The sequence below is a fragment of the Homo sapiens genome, chromosome 20, assembly GCF_000001405.40.
Source record: "Homo sapiens chromosome 20, GRCh38.p14 Primary Assembly".
In the NCBI taxonomy this organism is placed as follows: domain Eukaryota; kingdom Metazoa; phylum Chordata; class Mammalia; order Primates; family Hominidae; genus Homo; species Homo sapiens.
The window spans coordinates 4898656-4918457 of record NC_000020.11 but is presented as its reverse complement, the minus strand read 5'-3'; the positions used below and the strand labels follow the sequence as shown (position 1 = coordinate 4918457).

Sequence of the window (19802 nt, the reverse complement as noted above, 5' to 3'; positions counted from 1 at the left end):
TGTGTCCGTTGCTCAGTAAATACAATGCAAATGCAATTGCATATTGGAGACAAAATCATCTGGTTAGGCAGAGAAAACCTCCTTTCATAGCTGATTGATTGTACAATGTTAGTTTAGGAGACAAAACTTAAGGCCACGAGTTTAGTTTAAGATAGTTTTGGAGAAGAAAGGACATCTTGTTCCCAAAAGGGGTATACTAATCTGCTGATATTTTTATAAAAACTTGATCAATTTCCTGAGGTGAACGATGCCAAGATTCTTCTGTTATCTATTAGTTACCCAAAAGAAAACCAGACTTTATTAAGTTTAGAAAGCTTCCCAAGACATGTTTTATTTCCCAGTTAAAATAATATTTAAAAGTTCCAAAATATGAAGCTTTGCTACTATCATCAGCATTTTAATCCTTTTCCCATAAAAAATTCAGTCCTCAAGAACTGATTTTTACCATTTGATTTTTAAAATTAAATTTTGCATTAAAAATAGGCCATTAGAGTATCTATTTTAATAAGCCAAAGGAAAAAATGTTGGTAAGGTAGACTAGTACTTCCAGTAGAACTCTTCATCTGTAAGAACCATTTAGGCAAGAACTATTTAGGCAGCCCCCTGCACGTAAATAGATCAGAGACGAGCCAGTCAGACAAGAGCATTTCCAGCTGGTGTCCCCGTCTTATTACAGGCTTCCTTAGAGGATGGGGGTAGCATGGAGAGGAGAGCTACATCTCAGCTGGGCAACAGGAGGGTAGCAGGGGGAAGCTGGGCTCTGAGGTCCCCAGGGACAGACAGCTGGACCTGTGCAAATCATAGGTTTTCTAGGTCAGTAGTATTTACAGTTAAATAAACTTCCTGGACTAGCCTGGCAAAGTAAACCTTCCTTTTTTGGATGATTTCTGTGGGTCAAACACATTTTGAATTGGCTTACAAACATTCCACCCCTACCTCCTGCCAGTCTCTTTGGGACTGGCACCTCCATCCACCCAGCTTCCCAGCTGAGAAACCCAGCCTGGACACTTTACTCCCGTGCCCCCTGCTGTGCTGTGATGGCATCTCCCCGCTGTACTCACCACAGAGCTCCCATCCAGACAATCTTCAGGGGGCATTAAGTCCACATCATTGCTCTCTCCTGAAGCTGACTGTCTTTCCCAGACCACTGTTAACACCTTTGCCCAGCTCCTGTCTCCTCGTGTGCCAAAGGGTCATTCCTTTACCCCACCCATCCACTCTCCTGCTGCACCCAGAATGGCTGTCCAGTGCTAGCATCTGATTGTGGCACTCCTGTTCTTGGCATTTCTTTGTGGCTACTGACTGCCTCCTGTGTAACAGCGGAATTCCTTGGCGGGGCACTCAGTCTGGACTGAGCTCCTGCAGGGAGGCAGGACTGCATTCTCATTGCCTGGGATACAACCACAATTTGTTGAATGAATGAATATGTGAGCTTTTTTTCTAGGCTTAGGAGTGTCTGCATTTTATAATACAGATGTTCCTTGACTTATGACAGAGTTACACCCCTAAAATGCATTTAATACACCTAACCTACTGGCAATTCATAGCTTAACCCCGCCTACCTCACATGTGCTCAGAACCCTTACATTAGCCTGTAGTTAGGCAAAAGCATCTAACACAAAGCCTATTTTATGGTGAAGTGTTGAATATCTCTTGCAGTTTCTTGAATACTGAAGTGAAGAGCAGAGGGGTTGTATGGGTACTTGACAGTTTCTACGGAATACATATCACTTTTGTACCACTGTAAAGTCAAAAAATCCTAAGTTTAACCATTTAAGTTGGGGATCATTATACTTATTTGTGTATGTATAAGTAGTGAGTGGAATGTGTCAGGGGAGCAGTAGGAATTGCTAACTCATTTCAAAATCTATCTTCTTAGTGCCATGTATACAGATGATTTTTTTTAATGTATCGAGGTGAAGTTTGCATAACATGAAATTAAAGTGAACAATTCAGTGATATTTTAATACACTCACAGTGTTATACAGCCTCGTCCATTTGGTTCCAAAACATTTTCATCTCCTGCAAAGGAAACCCCTTACTGGTAAAGTTGCTGTTCCCTGCAGCAACCCGAGATAAATGCAGGTGAAGGTTAGTTTGGCTAGAGTCAGACTTTCAATCATATCTAGGTTTCTCTAATGATTTAGTAACTGATCCGTGTTTTAGGAGAGTTCATCCTGAGAGCGTGTTGCTCTTGGCTTCTCAGTGGGTTGAGCACTGCTGCGATATGACTTGGAGCACAGTTCTCTCTGTAAGTTAAGAGTTTCATCTCGTGGACCTGAACTTGGCCAGGAATGTGTATCCTCCCAGCAGCCAGTTTTTATAGGTAAACCAGCTCCACAAACTCAGTTGGCTTGTGTAAAAAACTATAACATGTTTGAGAAATAATTTTAAAAGCAGGTCTTTATTTGAAGTAATGTAAGAGAATTCTGCTCTGTAGGAGTATGTACTAATTAATTGAGATCTCTGGCATAGTTTTTATTTTTATTTTATTTTATTTTTTATTTGTTGAGATGGAGTCTCGCTCTGTTGACCAGGGTGGAGTACAGTGGCACAATCTCGGCTCACTGCAACCTCCACCTCCTGGATTCAAGCGATTCTCCTGCCTCATCCTCTCAAGTAGCTGGGATTAGAGGCGCCCATCACCACGCCCAGCTAATTTTTGTATTTTTAGTAGAGATGGGGTTTTGCCATGTTGGCCAGGCTGGTCTCGAACTCGTGATCTCGGGTGATCTGCCTGCCACGGCCTCCCAAAGTGCTGGGATTACAGGCATGAGCCACTGCGCCTGGCCTCTCTGGCATACTTAAAAACCCACTTCAGACCTAGGTTATAATCTGTATGACCTTGAATGAGAAACCTAATTTTTCACTGCCCTGATTTCCTTGACTACAAAAACACATGAATTGGGAATCTCTCTGGACCTCCTCAATCCAAGCTGTACTGCTAGGATTTTAGTCTTAAATTTCTTCCCTATTATCAAAATAAATTGTACTTACTCATTTTAGGAAATGACCAAAATATAAAAAGGGGAAAAAGTTGGCAAAAATGGCCCTACCAATTAAGGACAACCACTGTTAGCATTTTGGAGTATGTCTTTTTTTTTAAATTATCCATTTTTAAAAAAGCAGTATACAAATAACACAAATACATCCTGATCATAAAAGATCCAAACACTTACAAAGGGTTGTGAGTAAAAAGATGAAAGGTGTCTGCTATTGCCGTTCTTGTCCCTAAGGCAGCACCCTTCCTACTGGTTGTGATTTTCCTGTATGCTTTTCTGTCCTTTTTAGACAAGTGGTGGGGTCATTACAATTTTCTTTTTTAGCTCAGTTGGGATAATTCTAGGCTTATTGTTTTATAACTTTTTAAAAACAGTATTTCTTGGAGTTTTTTTTTAATTAGTACATCAGCTAGCTATTTATTTATTTATGTATTTATTTAGAGTCGATGTCTTGCTCGGTCACCCAGGCTGGAGTGCAACCCCCACCTTTCATGTTCCAGCAGTTCTCCTGCCTCAGCCTCCTGAGTAGCTGGGACTACAGATGTGCAACGCCATGCCTGGCTTATTTTTGTATTTTTAGTAGAGACGGGGTTTCACTGTGTTGGCCAGCTGGTCTCGAACTCCCGACCTCAGGTGATCTGCCTGCCTCAGCCTTCCAAAGTGCCAGGATTACAGTCCTGAGCCACCGTGTCCAGTGCTTTATTATTTTTAATGGCTGATTATCTCCTCTAAATGAGTGTATAATAATGTAACTGTGTCTTTTTGATGGACATTTATGTTGTCCCCAAGTATTCAGTATTTCATAAATTACAGCAGTGATCAACCTTGAATATATATATTACCTGCATGGATATTTCTAGAGGATAAGCTTCTATGAGTATAATTGCTGGATCCACAGAAATACCTGTTTTAAATCCCATTGCCAAATTTCCCTCCATGAAGGCCATTCCACCAAGAGCATGTTCTCTCCAAGAACACAGGAGAGTAACTCTCCCCCATACCTTGGTCAATACCTGGTTCAGTTTTTTAAGTTTCCCTCTAAGTTTGTTTTTTTTAAAATAAAATTTTAATAATTATTTCCATAATTTAAAATGATATGGAACAGCTTTTCATGTGTTTTATTGTATATATGTTTTTCTTCTATGAATGATATATTCCTAGCCCTTGCCCATTTCCTTTCCATCCTTTTTCCTTAGGCCTCTCAGGGATGAATTGGATCGTTTGGTTTTATTATTGGTTTGAGGTGTTCTTTACGCATATTGATACTGACCCTTTTTATATCTGCTGCACTGTATTTTCTCCTAGGCCATCACTTGTCTTCTGCTTGCTTTTAGTGTATTTCACAATGCCAGAATTTGAACTTTTAATATACTTTTTAAATCTGTAGTTTTTAAATGTAGTTGCACTGTTAACCATATATACAGTTACCTTAATATTTATTACATGTGCATTTTCCTTGATATTACTCTGTGTAAAAATCTTTTCCCTTGTAGTATTCTGGGTGTCAGTGGCCTATAACTAGTTATTTGAGCCATGTGTGGTGGCTCATGCCTATAATCCCAGCACTTTGGGAGGCTGAGGTGAGTGGATCACCTGAGGTTAGGAGTTCGAGACCAGCCTGACCAACATGGTGAAACCCCGTCTCTACTAATAATATAAAAATTAGCCAGGTGTTGTGGTGGGCACCTGTAATTCCAGCTACTCGGGAGGCTGAGGCAGGAGAATCGCTTGAACCTGGGAGGCGGAGGTTGCAGTGAGCCGAGATCACGCCATTGCATTCCAGCCTGGGCGACAGAGCGCGACATCGTCTCAAAAACAAAACGAAACAACAACAACAACAACAACAAAACCTAAAAAAACAAAAACTAGTTATTTGTTATTATAAACAGTGATTACTTTCTTTGGGTTAAAGCTTTTGTTCTCATTATTGTTCTCCAGTATAGATTCCTAGAAGTGGAACCGTTTGGCTAAAAAGTAAAAATATTTTATGGCTCTTGCTACTGGCTGGCAGAACCCGGGACGATGGTGTGGCCCCTTACCGAGGAGTGTTCTCCAGTGGGCTGGTTTACTTAGGTGAACAGCAAAGCTTGAGTTCCTCCAGCTAGAACATTTCCCCTTCTAGGTGCAGGAAGTCGGCCTCAGGTGGTTATGTGGGCAGGGATCTTAACCGAGGCAGCTCAGGGTACTCTCACCTGTTCAGCCTGGGCCTCGTCCACAAACAGCATGGGCCTCTGAGCCAAACTTCCCTTCCCCTGAAGGATGTGGGGGTGCCCCTGCTGAGGTTGCCCTGGGATTTTATTTCTTTTCTCCCCGGCTGAGCCTTCTGCTAAGGCAGCCTCCCCATACGGTACATGGAGTATGTTTCTCCATCAAAACCATGCCTGGTCATGCACTCACCAGGAGAATTACAAATGGCTTTCGGGGGGAGGAAAATGTGGTTCACGCTGAAACAGCCTCTAAGTGGATTGTCTCTGCAGGTGGTGATAAATGGAGGCGCCACCTCCAGCGGTGAGCAGGACAATGAGGACACTGAGCTCATGGCGATCTACACTACGGAAAACGGCATTGCAGAAAAGGTACCCCTTCCGTCACCCCGTGTCCCCACTCCCACCGCCATCCCCTCCCACAAGTGCTGCCCCGGATCTGGATCCGGATCCCTTTCAGACACTTGCATGTCCTTCGTCTGGGGCTTGGTCTCTGACTCCCAAGGGGCTGTGTTCTCTTCATAAGGGAAGTAGGAGGAGCCATAGGGAATAGAAGTTACTAGTTTTTTTTTTTTTTTTTTTTTGATTGTTTTAATGGCATTTAAGGTGAGAACCATAGAGGAGGATCCAGGTATTTAAAAAGGCCTCAGCCAAGATGGCAGAGGGAAGTGGTTAAGAGCTTGAGGTCTGGCATCAGGTCTGGGTGCAAATATGAGTCAGACTGAGGAAATTATAGAAGTTCTCTGGGCCTCAGTTCCCTGTCTCTAAAATGGGAATAAAAATGTCAACATCTGGTTGTTTTGTGGATTGAATGAAATGATATGTGAAGTTATTAGCATCGTGCCTGTTACAGATACATGTGCAGTAAATAAGAGAATAAGGGAAATCAGCAAGTGGTTTATGCAGCCTATGAAAATGCCTTTGAGTTTTGACCGTAGCACCTTTGGCACCTTAGTGTGCCAATGGAAATGGCACACTAAGGTGGGGAGAATCGTGTTTGTGGTTTTTTTGTTTATTTTTGTTTTGCTCTGTGCCTCGTTCCATCTCCTTGAATGGTCAGACTTTGTGACCATAGAGGTCAGGATAAAGTTGCCCAAAGCGGCTCCAATCTGGGCTCAGTGGCTCACACCTATAATCCCAATACTTTGGGAGGCTGAGGCGGGAAGATTGCTTGAGGCCAGGAGTTTGAGACCAGCCTGGGCAACGTAGCAAGATCCTGTCTCTACAAAAAAAAAAAAAAAGAAATAATTATCCAGGTGTGGTGATGTGTGCCTATAGTAGCAGCTACTCAGGGGCAGGAGAATTGCTTGAGCCTAAGAGTTTGAGGCTACAGTGAGCTAAGATCATGCTTCTGTACTCCAACTGGGAAGACAGAGTAAGACCCTGTCTCTAAAAAAAATAAATAAATAAATTCATAAATAAAAATAAAATAAAGTAGGTCCAGATATCCCGATTTCTTTTTTTCTTTGTATCTGCCATGATGTCTAACATATGAGAAGTTAGATAATCTGATATCTCCAAATTGTATCGCAGCTCTGAGGCTTTCATTTGAGTTTTACTTGATAGATTTTAAACACAGGTTTTATTTATACTATGAAAATTTACTAATTTTCAGCTGACATAATAAGAAACTAAACAATTTATGTAATGAGAAATTCTATTCTGGAACCACTGTATTATACTGTAGACAGTGTATACTATGTATTCTAATAACAGACCACCCAGAAGTTGACACATACAAATATAGTACCTGAGTTGGGTATTAGCATGGTGAGTTCACAGTGTAATCACTAAAGTGATTAAGAACAAATAAATTGTATTGAAATTCTGAAATAACCAAATTTTATGCCCTTTTAAACAAAATTCCAGTCTGGGATATGGAAATTTCATTTTTGCCTCTCAACCAATATTGTTATTATTTTCCTGCTGCTTGGAGCTATTATAAATTTTATGGAGGTTAATTAAAGTAGATTCAGGCAGAGATACTGAAATTCCAGAAGTGCGGGGTTCCAAGCTGCTCCCCAAAGGTTAGTGCAGTGGTGTTTGGCATGTGGATTGGTGCCTGTGGTCTGCAGCTGAGGCACATCCCACACTGCCGGGCCGCAGCTTTCACACGGTCCATCTTGTAACAAAGGGCTTCTTCACAGACTTGGTGGGCCACATATAATCCTCTATGCCATGATTCCAGGCTGTCATGTTTTCAGACTTCCTCCTTCTCTGTCTGGAGATCGTCTTTAGAAATAAATAGTGATGAGCATTAACACTTTGGGGCTTAGCTTTACCTTTTACTGATGGGAGGGATCCAGTTGTAGGAAAAATGTCTCTAGCACATTTATGCTAGATGTTCATTTTCCTGTTTGGGTGAACATTTTTTCATTGTCTAAACATTGATACATTTGTATTTCCTTGAATACCAATGAAATGGAGTATCTTAATATTTTCCTGGCCATTTTTCTTACTTTATGAAATGAGGAGGGCAGTGAGAAGAGCTGCTACATATTAAATAGTGCTAGTTGGGCTGGGCGTGGTGGCTCATGCCTGCAATCACAGCACTTTGGGAGGCCGAGATGGGTGGATCACTTGAGGTCAGGAGTTCAAGACCAGCCTGGCCAACATGGCGAAACCCCGTCTCTACTAAAGACACAAAAATTAGCCAGGAGGGGTGTCACACGCCTGTGGTTGGGTTGCAGCTATTTGGGAGGCTGAGGCAGGAGAATCACCTGAACCCAGGAGGCAGAGGTTGCAGTGAGCTGAGATGGCACCACTGCCCTCCAGCCTGTATGACAGAGTGAGACTCTGTCTCAAAAAAAGTAAATAAATAAAATGCTAGTCATTAAGCCAGACCCTCAGCGGGCTGTTTTTTTTTTTTTTTCTTGAGACAGAGTCTCACTCTGTCACCCAGGCTGAAGTGGAGTGGCCCAGTCTCTGCTCGCTACAATCTCTGCCTCCCTGGTTCAAGCGATTCTCCTACCTCAGCCTCCTGAGTAGCTGGGACCAGAGGCGCACGCCATCATACCAGGCTAATTTTTTTTTGTATTTTTAGTAAAGTTGGGGATTTACCATGTTGGTCAGGCTGGTCTCAAACTCCTGACCTCAGGTGATTTATCCGCCTTGGCCTCCCAAAGTGCTCAGATTACAGGCGTGAGCCACCATACCCGGCCAAAAGTAGTGGAAGGCTCTCAGGAAGCCGGATTGCCCCAGTGTGAGCAGAGTGGCATGTAAGCTGGTTATTAAAGAGCCTGCACTGGATGTGCTGCCCTGTGTGCCACTGGGCCTTTTGCTGCCCGTTGTTTCAAATGCTTAGTTGCAATTATCATATTAAATACAAGATAAAATAAACTTGTCTTCTGTAACTTTGAGATCTACTTTTTTTTGTTAGAGACCTTTTCTGACTTGGTCCAGGTGGGTGGCTCATGCATGTAATGCCAGCACTTTGGGAGGCCAAGGTGGGTGGATTGCCTGAGCTCAGGAGTTTGAGACTAGCCTGGGCAACATGGTGAAACCCCGTCTCTACTAAAAATACAAAAAAATTTAGCCGGGCTTCATGACATTCGCCTGTAATCCCAGCTACTTGGGAGGCTGAGGCAAGAGAATTGCTTGAATCCAGGAGGCAGAGGTTGTAGTGAGCCAAGATAGCACTACTGCACTCCAACCTGAGTGACAAAGTGAGACTGTCTCAAAACAAAAGAGACCTTTTCTGACTTGATCCCTGTGGATTCTCTTTAAGCTATCTTTTGTTAAAGGACTAGTTGTTCCAAAAAAAAAATGACATTCATTTTAACATGATTGTCTAATAGTAAACAGTCCAAAAAATGGAGAAAGTTGAAAATGTGCCCCCTACGTTCTTTATATATTCTACGTAACCAGCGGCTGGCAACCTGATGTAGAGTAACCGTCCTAAAACTGAGATCTGAAATCTGCAATGTTCCAATATCTGAAATTTTTTGAGCACCGACATGATGCTCAAAGGAAATGCTTGCTCATTGGAGCATTTTGGATTTGAGTTTTGGGATTGTGATGCGCAACCAGTAAGTATTTCAAAATCCCAAAAAAATCTGAAATCCAAAACATTTGGGTTCCAAGCATTTTCAACCTGTATGTATATTCCATACCACTTTCCACATAGGTACACACAAACAGATGCCCCAGATGTTAACATTTTACTGTATTTTCTTCATCCTTCTTGTAGGCATATTATTATTTTTGAGCTGTTCAAATCTCACAGACATAATGCCTCTTTATTTAGGGAAAATACTGCATGTGTATTTCCTTAAAACAAAGACATTCTCTTTGTTTTATAACTTCAGTACAATGTTTTTTGAGATAGTCTTGCTCTGTCATTCAGGCTGGAATGCAGTGGCACAATCTCAGCTCACTGCAACCTCCGCCCCCCAGTTTCAAGCAATTCTCATACCTCAGCCTGAGCCTCCCAAGTAGCTGGGATCACAGGCGTGCACCACCACACCTGGCTAATTTTTCTATTTTTAGTAGAGACGGGGTTTTGCCATGTTGACCAGGCTGGCCTGGAACTCTGGCTTCAAGGAATCTACCTGCTTCGGCCTCCCAAAGTGCTGGGATTACAGGCATGAGCCACCACACCCGGTCCCTACAGTACAATTCTTAACACTGATGAATTAAATTATTAGTCATACAATACCTAATTGATTTTATTACTTAATCCCAATTTTAAAATATTTAATATCTACAAGCTTTATTCACATTTCCTCAGTTGTCCAAATAATGTTCATTATTGTAAAATAAATAAATAAGTTAATTAATTTTAAAAGTTTTGGTCCAGGAATCAAATCAGGGGCTGTTGAGGCATTTACTTTTTAGGTATATCTTTAGTCTCCTTTAATCTGGAACAATTTTTCGTTGTTAATGTAACATGGTACAAGCCAGTTTACTTTGTAGAATCTCTCTCAGCTTAGGTTCGTCACTGTAGTTTTATCCTGATTTTTCATTAGTGAGGCTGCATCTCTTTACACATGCTCAAGACCCATGTGTATATCCTTTTCTGGGCCAGTTTTTCCTGGCATTTTCAATATTTAGCTTTGAGGCTGCTATTATCTCAGGAATTGTATCTTTAAATATTAATTCCAGTCTATTCTTTTGGTTTCTGATTTGGGAGCTGCAATTATGCATGTTTTGTTTGTTCTTTGCCTGCCTCCTCCAGCTATCAGTTCTCTTTAATCTTTTTTTTCCTCTTAGCACGGAGCTTTTTCATTCTAGTCTCTGACACTTACTCTGTTTTGCAGCTTATCTGTTCTTCCTTGTGCTCCTCACACTTTCATAGTTTTTTGTATTTTTTTTCCTTTCCATCTGGCCAAATTATGTAAACTCATGTTTATTTCCAGTTTCCCTTAAATGTCTGTTTGAATTTTAAGGCCTTCCTTAGTAAGAATGATTGTTTTATTTTCAAAATGCATTTTTTCATTAATCCATTGAATACTGTAGTATCCTTCTAATTTGTTAACATGTCCTTTATTTCTTAAATTTTTCTTATTTCTTTGGTTAATTTCTATATTCTTTTTTCCTTGTTCTGACATTTAACACTTAACTCTTACCTATATTTGTCTTTTTCTTATTTTTGAGAGCTACCTTTGACTTCCAGCCCTTCTGTTGAGTTTTAAAAAACTATCCTGTGCTTAATTTCTGAGACCTCTTTTATTGTTTTTTGGTTTTGTTTACTGGTTAAAGTCTTTAAAAAGCATTCTTTGTCTCCCACAATTGAAGTAACTTTATTTTTCTGAAGATAGTTTTTTTTTAAGCTTTTTAAAAAATACTACATTGATTATATTTTCTGTTTCTTTGCCTTCATTTTTTTAGTCTTTCTTCACTGTTCCAGGATAGGAGGCAATAAAAGATAGGATTGTGAGGTCTTTGTGTGTGATGAAGTTTATCTAATCGTGGGCCTGCCCTTGAGTGACCAGGTGGAAAGCCGTGTTGTCTCTGTGGGATCTATAGATGTCACTATCTTGTCTTTGGGGCTGATCAACTTTCTCTAGAAAGGAATCGTGTGGTCTCCTGTGGGTATAAGTCTGGCTTCTGTGACCTGGTTTCTGGCATTCTGGAAGCAGATGAGTATCCTGCTGCTGCTGTTTTCCTTGATCGCTGTGTGGTATTCCTCAGCCTGAGGGCTTTCCAATTTATATTCTTCAAACCATACATATTTGTTTCTTGAAGGAGGAGGATAGCAGTAGTTAACACACTGTCTGACCAGTTTGCGGAGTTAAGACCTGTCCTCTCCCCATTGCTACTCTGTCTAGTGCTTCCAAGCATAGCACTTTCTGGGGTCCTGCTGGTCAGCCAGCCCACCTCTTCACAGCATCCTTCTATGAGCACCCAGCTTGTGCATTCCTTCCCTCTCCCAAATTGGTCACAAATCATCCAAACAATTTCCATATTAAAAAAAATATTAATCTCTTTTTCTTGATCTCCTCTTTGCTTTGTCCTTGTTGATGAGTATCATATTTATTCCTCCTGTTTTTAGGACTTAGAAGAAAAGACACATGTGGTCAATCTACCATGCTTAACTAGAACTCAAAAGCTGGCTTGTTGAAAAGAATAATGAAATTGATCTTTTTGGGTTTTTTGTTTTTTGGTTTTTTGTTGTTTTGTTTTGTTTTTTTGAGACAGAGTGTCACTCTGTCACCCAGGCTGGAGTGCAGTGGCACGATCTTGGCTCACTGCAGCCTCTGCCTCCTGGGTTGAAGCGATTCTCCTGCCTCAGCCTCCCAAGTAGCTGGGACTACAGGTGTACGCCACCACACCCAGCCAATTTTTGTATTTTCAGTAGAGACAGGGTTTCAGGGTTTCACCATGTTGGCCAGGCTGACCTCAAGTGATTGGCCTGCCTTGGCCTCCCAAAGTGCTGGGATTACAGACGTGAGCTACCAGCCTGTTCTGTTTTTTTTGAGACAAGATCTCTGTTGCCTAGGCTGGAGTGCAGTGGCATGATCACAGCTCACTGCAGCCGCAACCTCTCAGGCTCAAGTGATGCTCCTACCTCAGACTCCTGAGCGGGTGATCACTGGCATGTGCCACCACACCCAGCTAATTTTTGTTTGTTTGTTTTTGGAGACAGGGTCTCTGTCTGTTGCCCAGACTGGTCTCGAACTCCTGAGCTCAAGCAGTCTGCCGACCTTGGTCTCCCAAAGTGCTGGAATTATAGACATGAGCCACCATGCCTGGCCAAAACTGATCTGTTGTGGCCCTGATCAAGAGAAAAAAAATAGAAAGCACACATATACATTAGTATAGTAAAAAGGAGAAATGTACAAGAGAATAATACATGCTACTTTATGATAATCAGTTTGAAACGCTACAGCGGGGGTTGGCAAGCCAAATTTGGTTTAATATCTGTTCTTCTCAGTAGAGTTTTGCTGGAACACAGCCACATTTCTTTGTTTACCTATTGCCTAAGGCTGCATCCATGCTACAGTGACAGAACCATGTGGCTCCCAAAGCTTGAAATATTTACTGTATGGTCCTTTATAAAAAATATGTGCTGACTGTGCTGCAGAAGAAATGATTTCCTAGAGAAAGAGACTACAATCGACCCCAAAGGTGCTAGACTAGATAAATAACCGCAGAGGAGATAGCAAAGGTTATTAAAAATGTTAAGAAGGCTCCAGGCAGAGAACAGCGTTCTGAGTTCACTCTAGTCTTTGGAGCACAGGCAGTTTTTTTGTTCTTTAGATTATTTTGGACCATAGAATAAGATGGAAAGTCTTTGTAAAGTGACGTAATTATTTATGTAGTCATCTTTTACAGAAACCTTATTAGAGGTTTTTGTTTTTGCAGTATTTAAAATAGCTCATAGTTTACAGTGATCACTGAGTGTGGCGCCACAGTGCGTAGAGTGCACAATGGCCAGAGTGGTCCTTCTGTCATCAGGAGGGGGGGCACAGCGTCTGCCTCACAGTGTTGTCTGATCCTCTTGACCACACAGCCCCCTCCTGTATCATTTTAGTACCAGTTGTGGACCTTTACACTAGTTTTGTTTCTGAGTTGTAGGGCTACCCTCATTACTAAGAAAAGCTTGTGTGTGTGCATGTGCATACATGCGCCTGTGTGTACATCTTAACCTCTGCCTGGATGCGAAAAGTCTTGCTTTTTTTTTTTTTTTTTTTTTTGTGACAGAATCTCTCTCTGTTGCCCAGGCCAGAGTGCAGTGGTGTGATCTTGGCTTACTGCAACCTCTGTCTCCTAGGTTCAAGCAATTCTCCTGCCTCAGCCTCCGGAATAGCTGGGATTACAGGTGCACGCCACCACGCCCAGCTAATTTTTGTATTTTTAGTAGAGACAGGGTTTCACCATGTTGGCTAGGCTAATCTTGAACTCCTGACCTCAGGTGATCTACCTGCCTTGGCAGGTGCTGGAATTACAGATGTGAGCCACTGCACCTAGCCAAAAAGTCTTTTCATCTGCCTTATAATTAACACTAGTGGTTTTGGAATTGTTAGAAAAATGTTGCTTACATTACTGTATAACAGGTTGTACTAGTCTATGATAGGGTTATGTATTCTGTCTTCAGACATTTCTCTTTGTTATGAAATACTTTGTCATGTTACTTTGTGAGCAGCAGCACCACCTGTGTGGCTGTAGCTGACGCGGTGCTGTTGAGCTGACCTTTGTGTAGTGAGCCCCAGGTCTGTAATTCCATCACGTTAGCAAAATGGTGCCCTCAGTTCAGAAGTTCCCAAATCAGGTTCTGTGATTTATGAGAAAGACTCAGAGAATTCAGCAGAGCTGTTTTACTCACAGTTAAGGGTTTTTTTTTTGTTTGTTTTTTTCTTCAGAGAAAGGATACAGATTAAAATCAACAATGGAAAAAGGCACATAGGCAGGGTCTAGGAGACACCAGGCACAGGCTTGCAGCCATCCTCTCCCAGTGGAGTCATGCAGGCAGTGTTCAGTTTTCCCAGCAGTGATATGTGATAACACCCATTCAGCCAGGGAAGCTCATCCAAGCCTTGGTGTCCAGGGTTTTTAATTGGGGATCTGTCGTATAGGTATGGCTGACTGCCTATGTGGCTAACTTTAATTACTCACCAGCCCCTCCAGAGGTCAAGCTGACACTGTGTGGCCAAGTTTCAGGTAAAAAAATATGTATAAACTAGAGAAGAGGCCTCACTATGTTGCCCAGGCTGTTCTTGAACCCTGGCCTCAAGTGATCCTCACACCTTAGCATCCCATGGTGCTGGGACCACAGGTGTGAGCCACTGCACTGGGCCTAAAAAGACATGTTTAAGAGGCAGAAACCCCAAGAGCTCAGGTTATCCCCCACGTACCAGGCAAGACTCAACCCTTTCTTTGAAATGTGCGGGGTTTGGACAACCCAGACCTGCTGAGTTAATCTTTATTGTACATCACTACATGCTACACCCCTCAGACACATACGTACTTTTTCTACCATTTCTCCCAACAAGTTTTTAAAGACATCCATAATCCATTGTAACAAATTCAACACAATGTAAATTTGCCAGTATCCCTTGTTAGGACGGAAGAGAAAGTTTTACCCAAAAGGTCATATTCAGTTACATTTGGATTAGATGAGATGTCAGCTTCCATCAGACATTTACCTTCTGGCTGTGAAAGGTGAGGGTGAACTGTGTCCCTTCTTTTGTTTAAGGGTATTGGGCCCCAAACCCCAAACCCCTGTTGCCTCCATGTGGGTGGAACACATGGAATCAGCATTTTTCCATGTGGATATCTCTTCATTTTGTTTCCTGTTAAACACTTTGTTTGCTAGGTTATAAAACATTTCTTAAAATGAGATACATATCTTGGATTCCAAGAAATGATTGTAGAAATTCCAAGGAAAGATTATTTGTGTGGTGTTTGAAACCAGAGCAGTTTTGAGGTTCTCCTGGGGAACTCGGGGCTACCTTGAGTTTTCTGTTTGGCTCAGATACTGCATGAGTTCAGAACTGATGCTGGGGGTGATTGGAAGAGGCTGGACTCTAACCTAAAGTGACTGGTCTTTATGATGATTTTTGCTTAAAAAACCATGCCACACTTAATGTTTTAAAATATTTTTTTTACTAGTGTTAGGAGAAAAAGAAGAAAAAACCTGTCACCTAAACTATGAATACATTTTTAATGTTTTGTTTTTTAAACAGAATTCAAATCACCGTGTTTATATACTTTAGAATTACTCTTTTCACCTAACGTTATCTGAGCAATAGTGTTTGGATAGGAGGGTGTAGAATTTTAAAGTACAAAGATCCTTTTTACTTGCAGGGATGAAGTGGGCTGGGAGGGGCAGATCAGTGTGCTGTCTCTTTGAAAGTGGTTAAAATTTTCTAAGATTTTTTTCATCTGGGGTCTCACGCAAGGACTGCTCGTGCCAAGGTATCATTTTGTGGTCTCAACCTGGGAACATCTCTGTCCATGCAGGAGGATCCCCAGGCCTGGGGAGAAGCTCTGAGCAAGTTTGGTGTTCTCAGGGATGAGATGTTGCCCAAGGACGCTGACCCCCCAAATTCTGAGGATTGACCATCCCGGTGGGCGACTGTACTTGAGCCAAAGAGAATACTTGGCTTCAAAGATAGCCAAGGCTCAAAACTGCAGGAAGATGGCAACCACTTGATAAAGTTGTTTTTCTGTAATAGTGGCCTGTACATGGCCGAGCTAACACTGGTCTTCACGTTTAATGAGCACCTTCTTTTCTCCTTCTGGCTCGCAGAGCTCTCTCGCTGAGACCCTGGATAGCACTGGCAGTCTGGACCCCCAGCGATCAGACATGATTTATACCATAGAAGATGTTCCTCCCTGGTACCTGTGTATATTTCTGGGGCTACAGGTAAGATGGTTCCTGTAGGATGTGTAACTACCAGCAGGTGTTTGCATTGTCTACCATCTGGAATTGTTTAAAAATTCCACTTTGGTTTTTGTTTATTGAAGACTTTTATAAATTCCTCTTTTAAGAGTGATGAGTAGGGGCTGAGCACAGTGGCTGATGCCTGTAATCCTAGCAGTTTTGGAGGCTGAGGTGGGCAGATCACTGGAGCCTAGGAGCTCAAGACCAGCCTGGGTAACATGGCAAAAGTCCATCTCTACAAAAAATACAAAAATTAGCCATGTGTGGTGGTGTGTGCCCACAGTCCCAGCTACTCAAGAGGCTGAGGCAGGAGGATCGCTTGAGGTTGAGGTTGCAGTGAGCTGTGATCACACCACTCCACTTCAGCCTGGTTGACATAGTGAGACCCTGTCTCAAAAAACAAATGATGAATGGGAATTGTTGACATCACAGCAGGAGGAAGAAAAGAACAGGTAGAATGGATTACCAGGGAAAAGAAAGAAGATGTTCAGGGCACAAGCAAGAGCAGTGACATAAAGGAAGGGAAAGGAAATAGAGTTATAGAAAGAAGGAAGAATAGAGAAAGGAGAAAAGTTGAAGAATAGAGAAAAGAGAAATTAATTTTCATCTCCCATTCCTGGCCTAGTTAACCCACCCACAATCATGGTAACCTCTGCCATGAAACAGGAGCTACCCGGAAAAGTGCCATGTTGGCCAGGACCTAAATGGTAGGTTTTCAGTCTTATTTTTTAAAGGAAGGGAAACTTGCCATGGTAGCAGCAGCTTTGTCTGCTGCAGCTTCCAGTGGGAGGGGAGGGCAGCCGGGCTCAGGGACAAGGTGGGTGGTGACATAGCTGATGGAGGCCTCCGGCGTCTTTGATACTTCCCTCCTCTGTCTTCAGCACCCTTTTCCCTTTCATAGGATGAACGCGGGACGTTTTGGAGAAAGGGGACAACGTGGGGAGGGTCTTTTCTTAAATGCACACTCCTGGACTGAATATGCTTTGGTTTTAACTTGGACTCTGTTCTGAGGTCGGACTTAGCATTTTTCCCTTCTCAAGTTTGTGTGGTCAGTTCAACCTAAGGTATCTCAGGTGCCGAGAAAATCCATCTCATTGTCCAGAGAGGTTGATTCACCCTGGGGTGGGGCTGCCAACAGCTGGGTACTTTGGTTGAGTTTCCAGTTGCCCCGCCCTTCCCTCACCCCGTTTCAGGTATCACAGCCCATGGTAACCCCGACTGGCAGGTGTCTGTTGAGTAGGGGAGGAGTCAGAGCAAAAGGAGCTGAGTGGCCTCGGCAACTAGTCTACCTTGGGCTGAGCATTCTGAACCAGATTCAGGAAGGACACTTTTTGGAATGTTTATCTTATAAATGTTCCCAGCAGTCTTCCCTGGTCAGATAGGAGTGGGAAACCCTGCCTGCATCATGCCCTTCCTGACGATTCAGAGTACATAAAGTTGTGAGCAGCCCTGAGACATCCTGAACAGGAGTATTTCACCCCAGGAAACTCCTTTACAGTCGGGCTTCATGGGCTGCATGTGGCATGTTTGGCTAACGTGGGCAGGAATGGGAAGCTGCTGGAAGAAAAGTAGGAAGTTTGCAGAACAGAAATAAGAACTGGTCAACAGGGGAAGGGAGGGAAGTGAGTCGTGAGTGCTGGGACTATCCTACCAGGGCTACAGGTGTGGCGGGGGGTTGGGGGGACTCCCAAAGGAAAGTGGGATGGGGTTCTTTCTGGAAGATTCCCATGGCTACTGTACGCCCTTAACCCTGCCCTGACTGGAACAGACGAATTCTTTGTTTTCGAAAACAATGCCAGCTCACAGAAAAAGACAGAAAACACTCCATGCGTATGTAACTTATGAAGCTTATGTAACTTTAATCCCCAGACATGAAAGAACTTTTTTAAAGAAATAGACTAATTAACCTAGAAATGTAGATGCAAAATTCTGTATAAAATATTAGCAAATCAAATCCCAGAAGAAAAATACAGTATGACTAACTAGGGTTTGTTTCAAGCATGCAAGAATAGTTCAGCACATCACAATTCATGATAACAGATTAGAGGAGAAAGGCCTTATGGTTTTAGCAATTTATGCCAGAAAAGCATTTTGGGGAAGAAACCCAAATATTTCTAATAAGAATTACATAAGTAAAATATCACCAGTGCTGATATTGACTGTTTCCTTTGTGAGGCATGGATTCATCCAAGTAATAAGTAATAATGACAGTGAATAGTAAGACAATAAAATGTAATGAAAAGGAGAAATGCAGCTGGGCGTGGTGGCTCACGCCTGTAATCCCAGCACTTTGGAGAGGGAGAGGCAGGCGGATCGCTTGAGCCCAGGTGTTTGACACCAGCTTTGCCAACACGGTGAAAACCCATCGCTACAAAAAATACAAAAATAAGCTGGGCGTGGTGGTGCGCCCCTGTAATCCCAGCTATTTGGGAGGTTGAAGCAGGAGAATTGCTTGAGCCTGGGAGGTGGAGGTCACAGTGAGCCAAGATCGCACCATTGCACTCCGTCGAGGGCAATGGGAGTGAAACTGTCTTAACAACAAAGGAGAAATACTGAAAAAGAAGGAAAAAAGTATGGCTTGGTCGAAAAACCAAGGAGATTCTTTATGTGGGCTATTTTTTAACGACAATAAGAGAGAAGAATTAGGATGAAATCAAGAATAAATGAGGAAGGGTTTACTGTTTCTCCTCTGACCCTTTTCCTGCCCACAGCACTACCTGACATGCTTCAGCGGCACGATCGCAGTGCCCTTCCTGTTGGCCGATGCCATGTGTGTGGGGTACGACCAGTGGGCCACCAGCCAGCTCATTGGGACCATTTTCTTCTGTGTGGGAATCACTACTTTGCTACAGACAACGTTTGGATGCAGGTGAGATTGGGGTACTAATGGGGGATGCCAAAGCCCCCAGAAGGCATTGAGCGCAGAAGGCATTGAGCTGCGCCGTTTGCCTAGGGCTGTTGGCAAGGACAGAATGGAGGCACGGGAATGTCCTAGTGGCCGTTGGTCCCCACCCCTCAGTGTTCCTCCCAGTCATTTCCTCTCTTGGTGAATGGCACCACCGCCACCTTCCCCTACCCAGTTGTCCAAGCTGGAAACTCAGCCTCACTCTCCTTCCCCTGCCCCCTTGGCAAGTCATGCTCGCTCCCCAGCACCCCTCTGTGCCCCTATTCCTTACGTTCAGACCAGAGTGTCCCACCAGGCTCCCCGTTGGCTTCCCTGCCTCCAGGGCACTGCTCTTGGACTCACTTTGTGCCCCACACCCAGTGCCATCTTTCTACTTCCACACCCTCCTCAGGGTGAGCCACACTGCAGCTCTCCTCCCTTTTTACACACCAGGCTGCACCCAGCATTTAGGCTTGCCCTTGCTCTCTGCCCCACTTCCATCTCCAGCCATGCCTCTGAGCCCTGTCTCCTGCCTTCCCTGGCCTCACTCCCAAGGGCCCGCTGTCTACCTTCTTGTGTGTCTTCCCTCAACCCGCCTGGCACACAACAGCTCATCCTCCAGGCCCAGCTTGTCCTGCCCTCCCGACTCTGTGGAGCCCTTCATTGTTCTCTGAATTCCCACCTTGTTTTCATCCTTCCAGTGTGGCCTTTATTCCAGTTTGTCCTTTTTGTTTCTATGTCTTTTTCCCACGGTGCTTCCTCCTTGATGCCAGGGCTTTGGCTTGTTCACTTCTGCATTTCCAGCCACCAGCTTAAATGGACGTGGAGCTGGCACAGGAAGGAAGAGAAACATCCTTATCTACCTTCCTACCTCCTCCTGCAAG

General features: G+C 43.1%; 1 protein-coding gene across 2 annotated transcripts in view; it reads left to right on the top strand.

The window, feature by feature from the left end:
* The window catches only part of SLC23A2 (solute carrier family 23 member 2), a 157956-nt gene that overhangs the window by 91856 nt on the left and 46298 nt on the right, over nucleotides 1-19802 (top strand). For both annotated transcript variants that reach the window (NM_203327.2, NM_005116.6), the window contains exons 4-6: nucleotides 5480-5578; nucleotides 15900-16016; nucleotides 18746-18903. In NM_203327.2, the coding sequence (NP_976072.1) occupies nucleotides 5480-5578; nucleotides 15900-16016; nucleotides 18746-18903 (374 nt within the window). The remainder of the gene's footprint in view (nucleotides 1-5479; nucleotides 5579-15899; nucleotides 16017-18745; nucleotides 18904-19802) is intronic.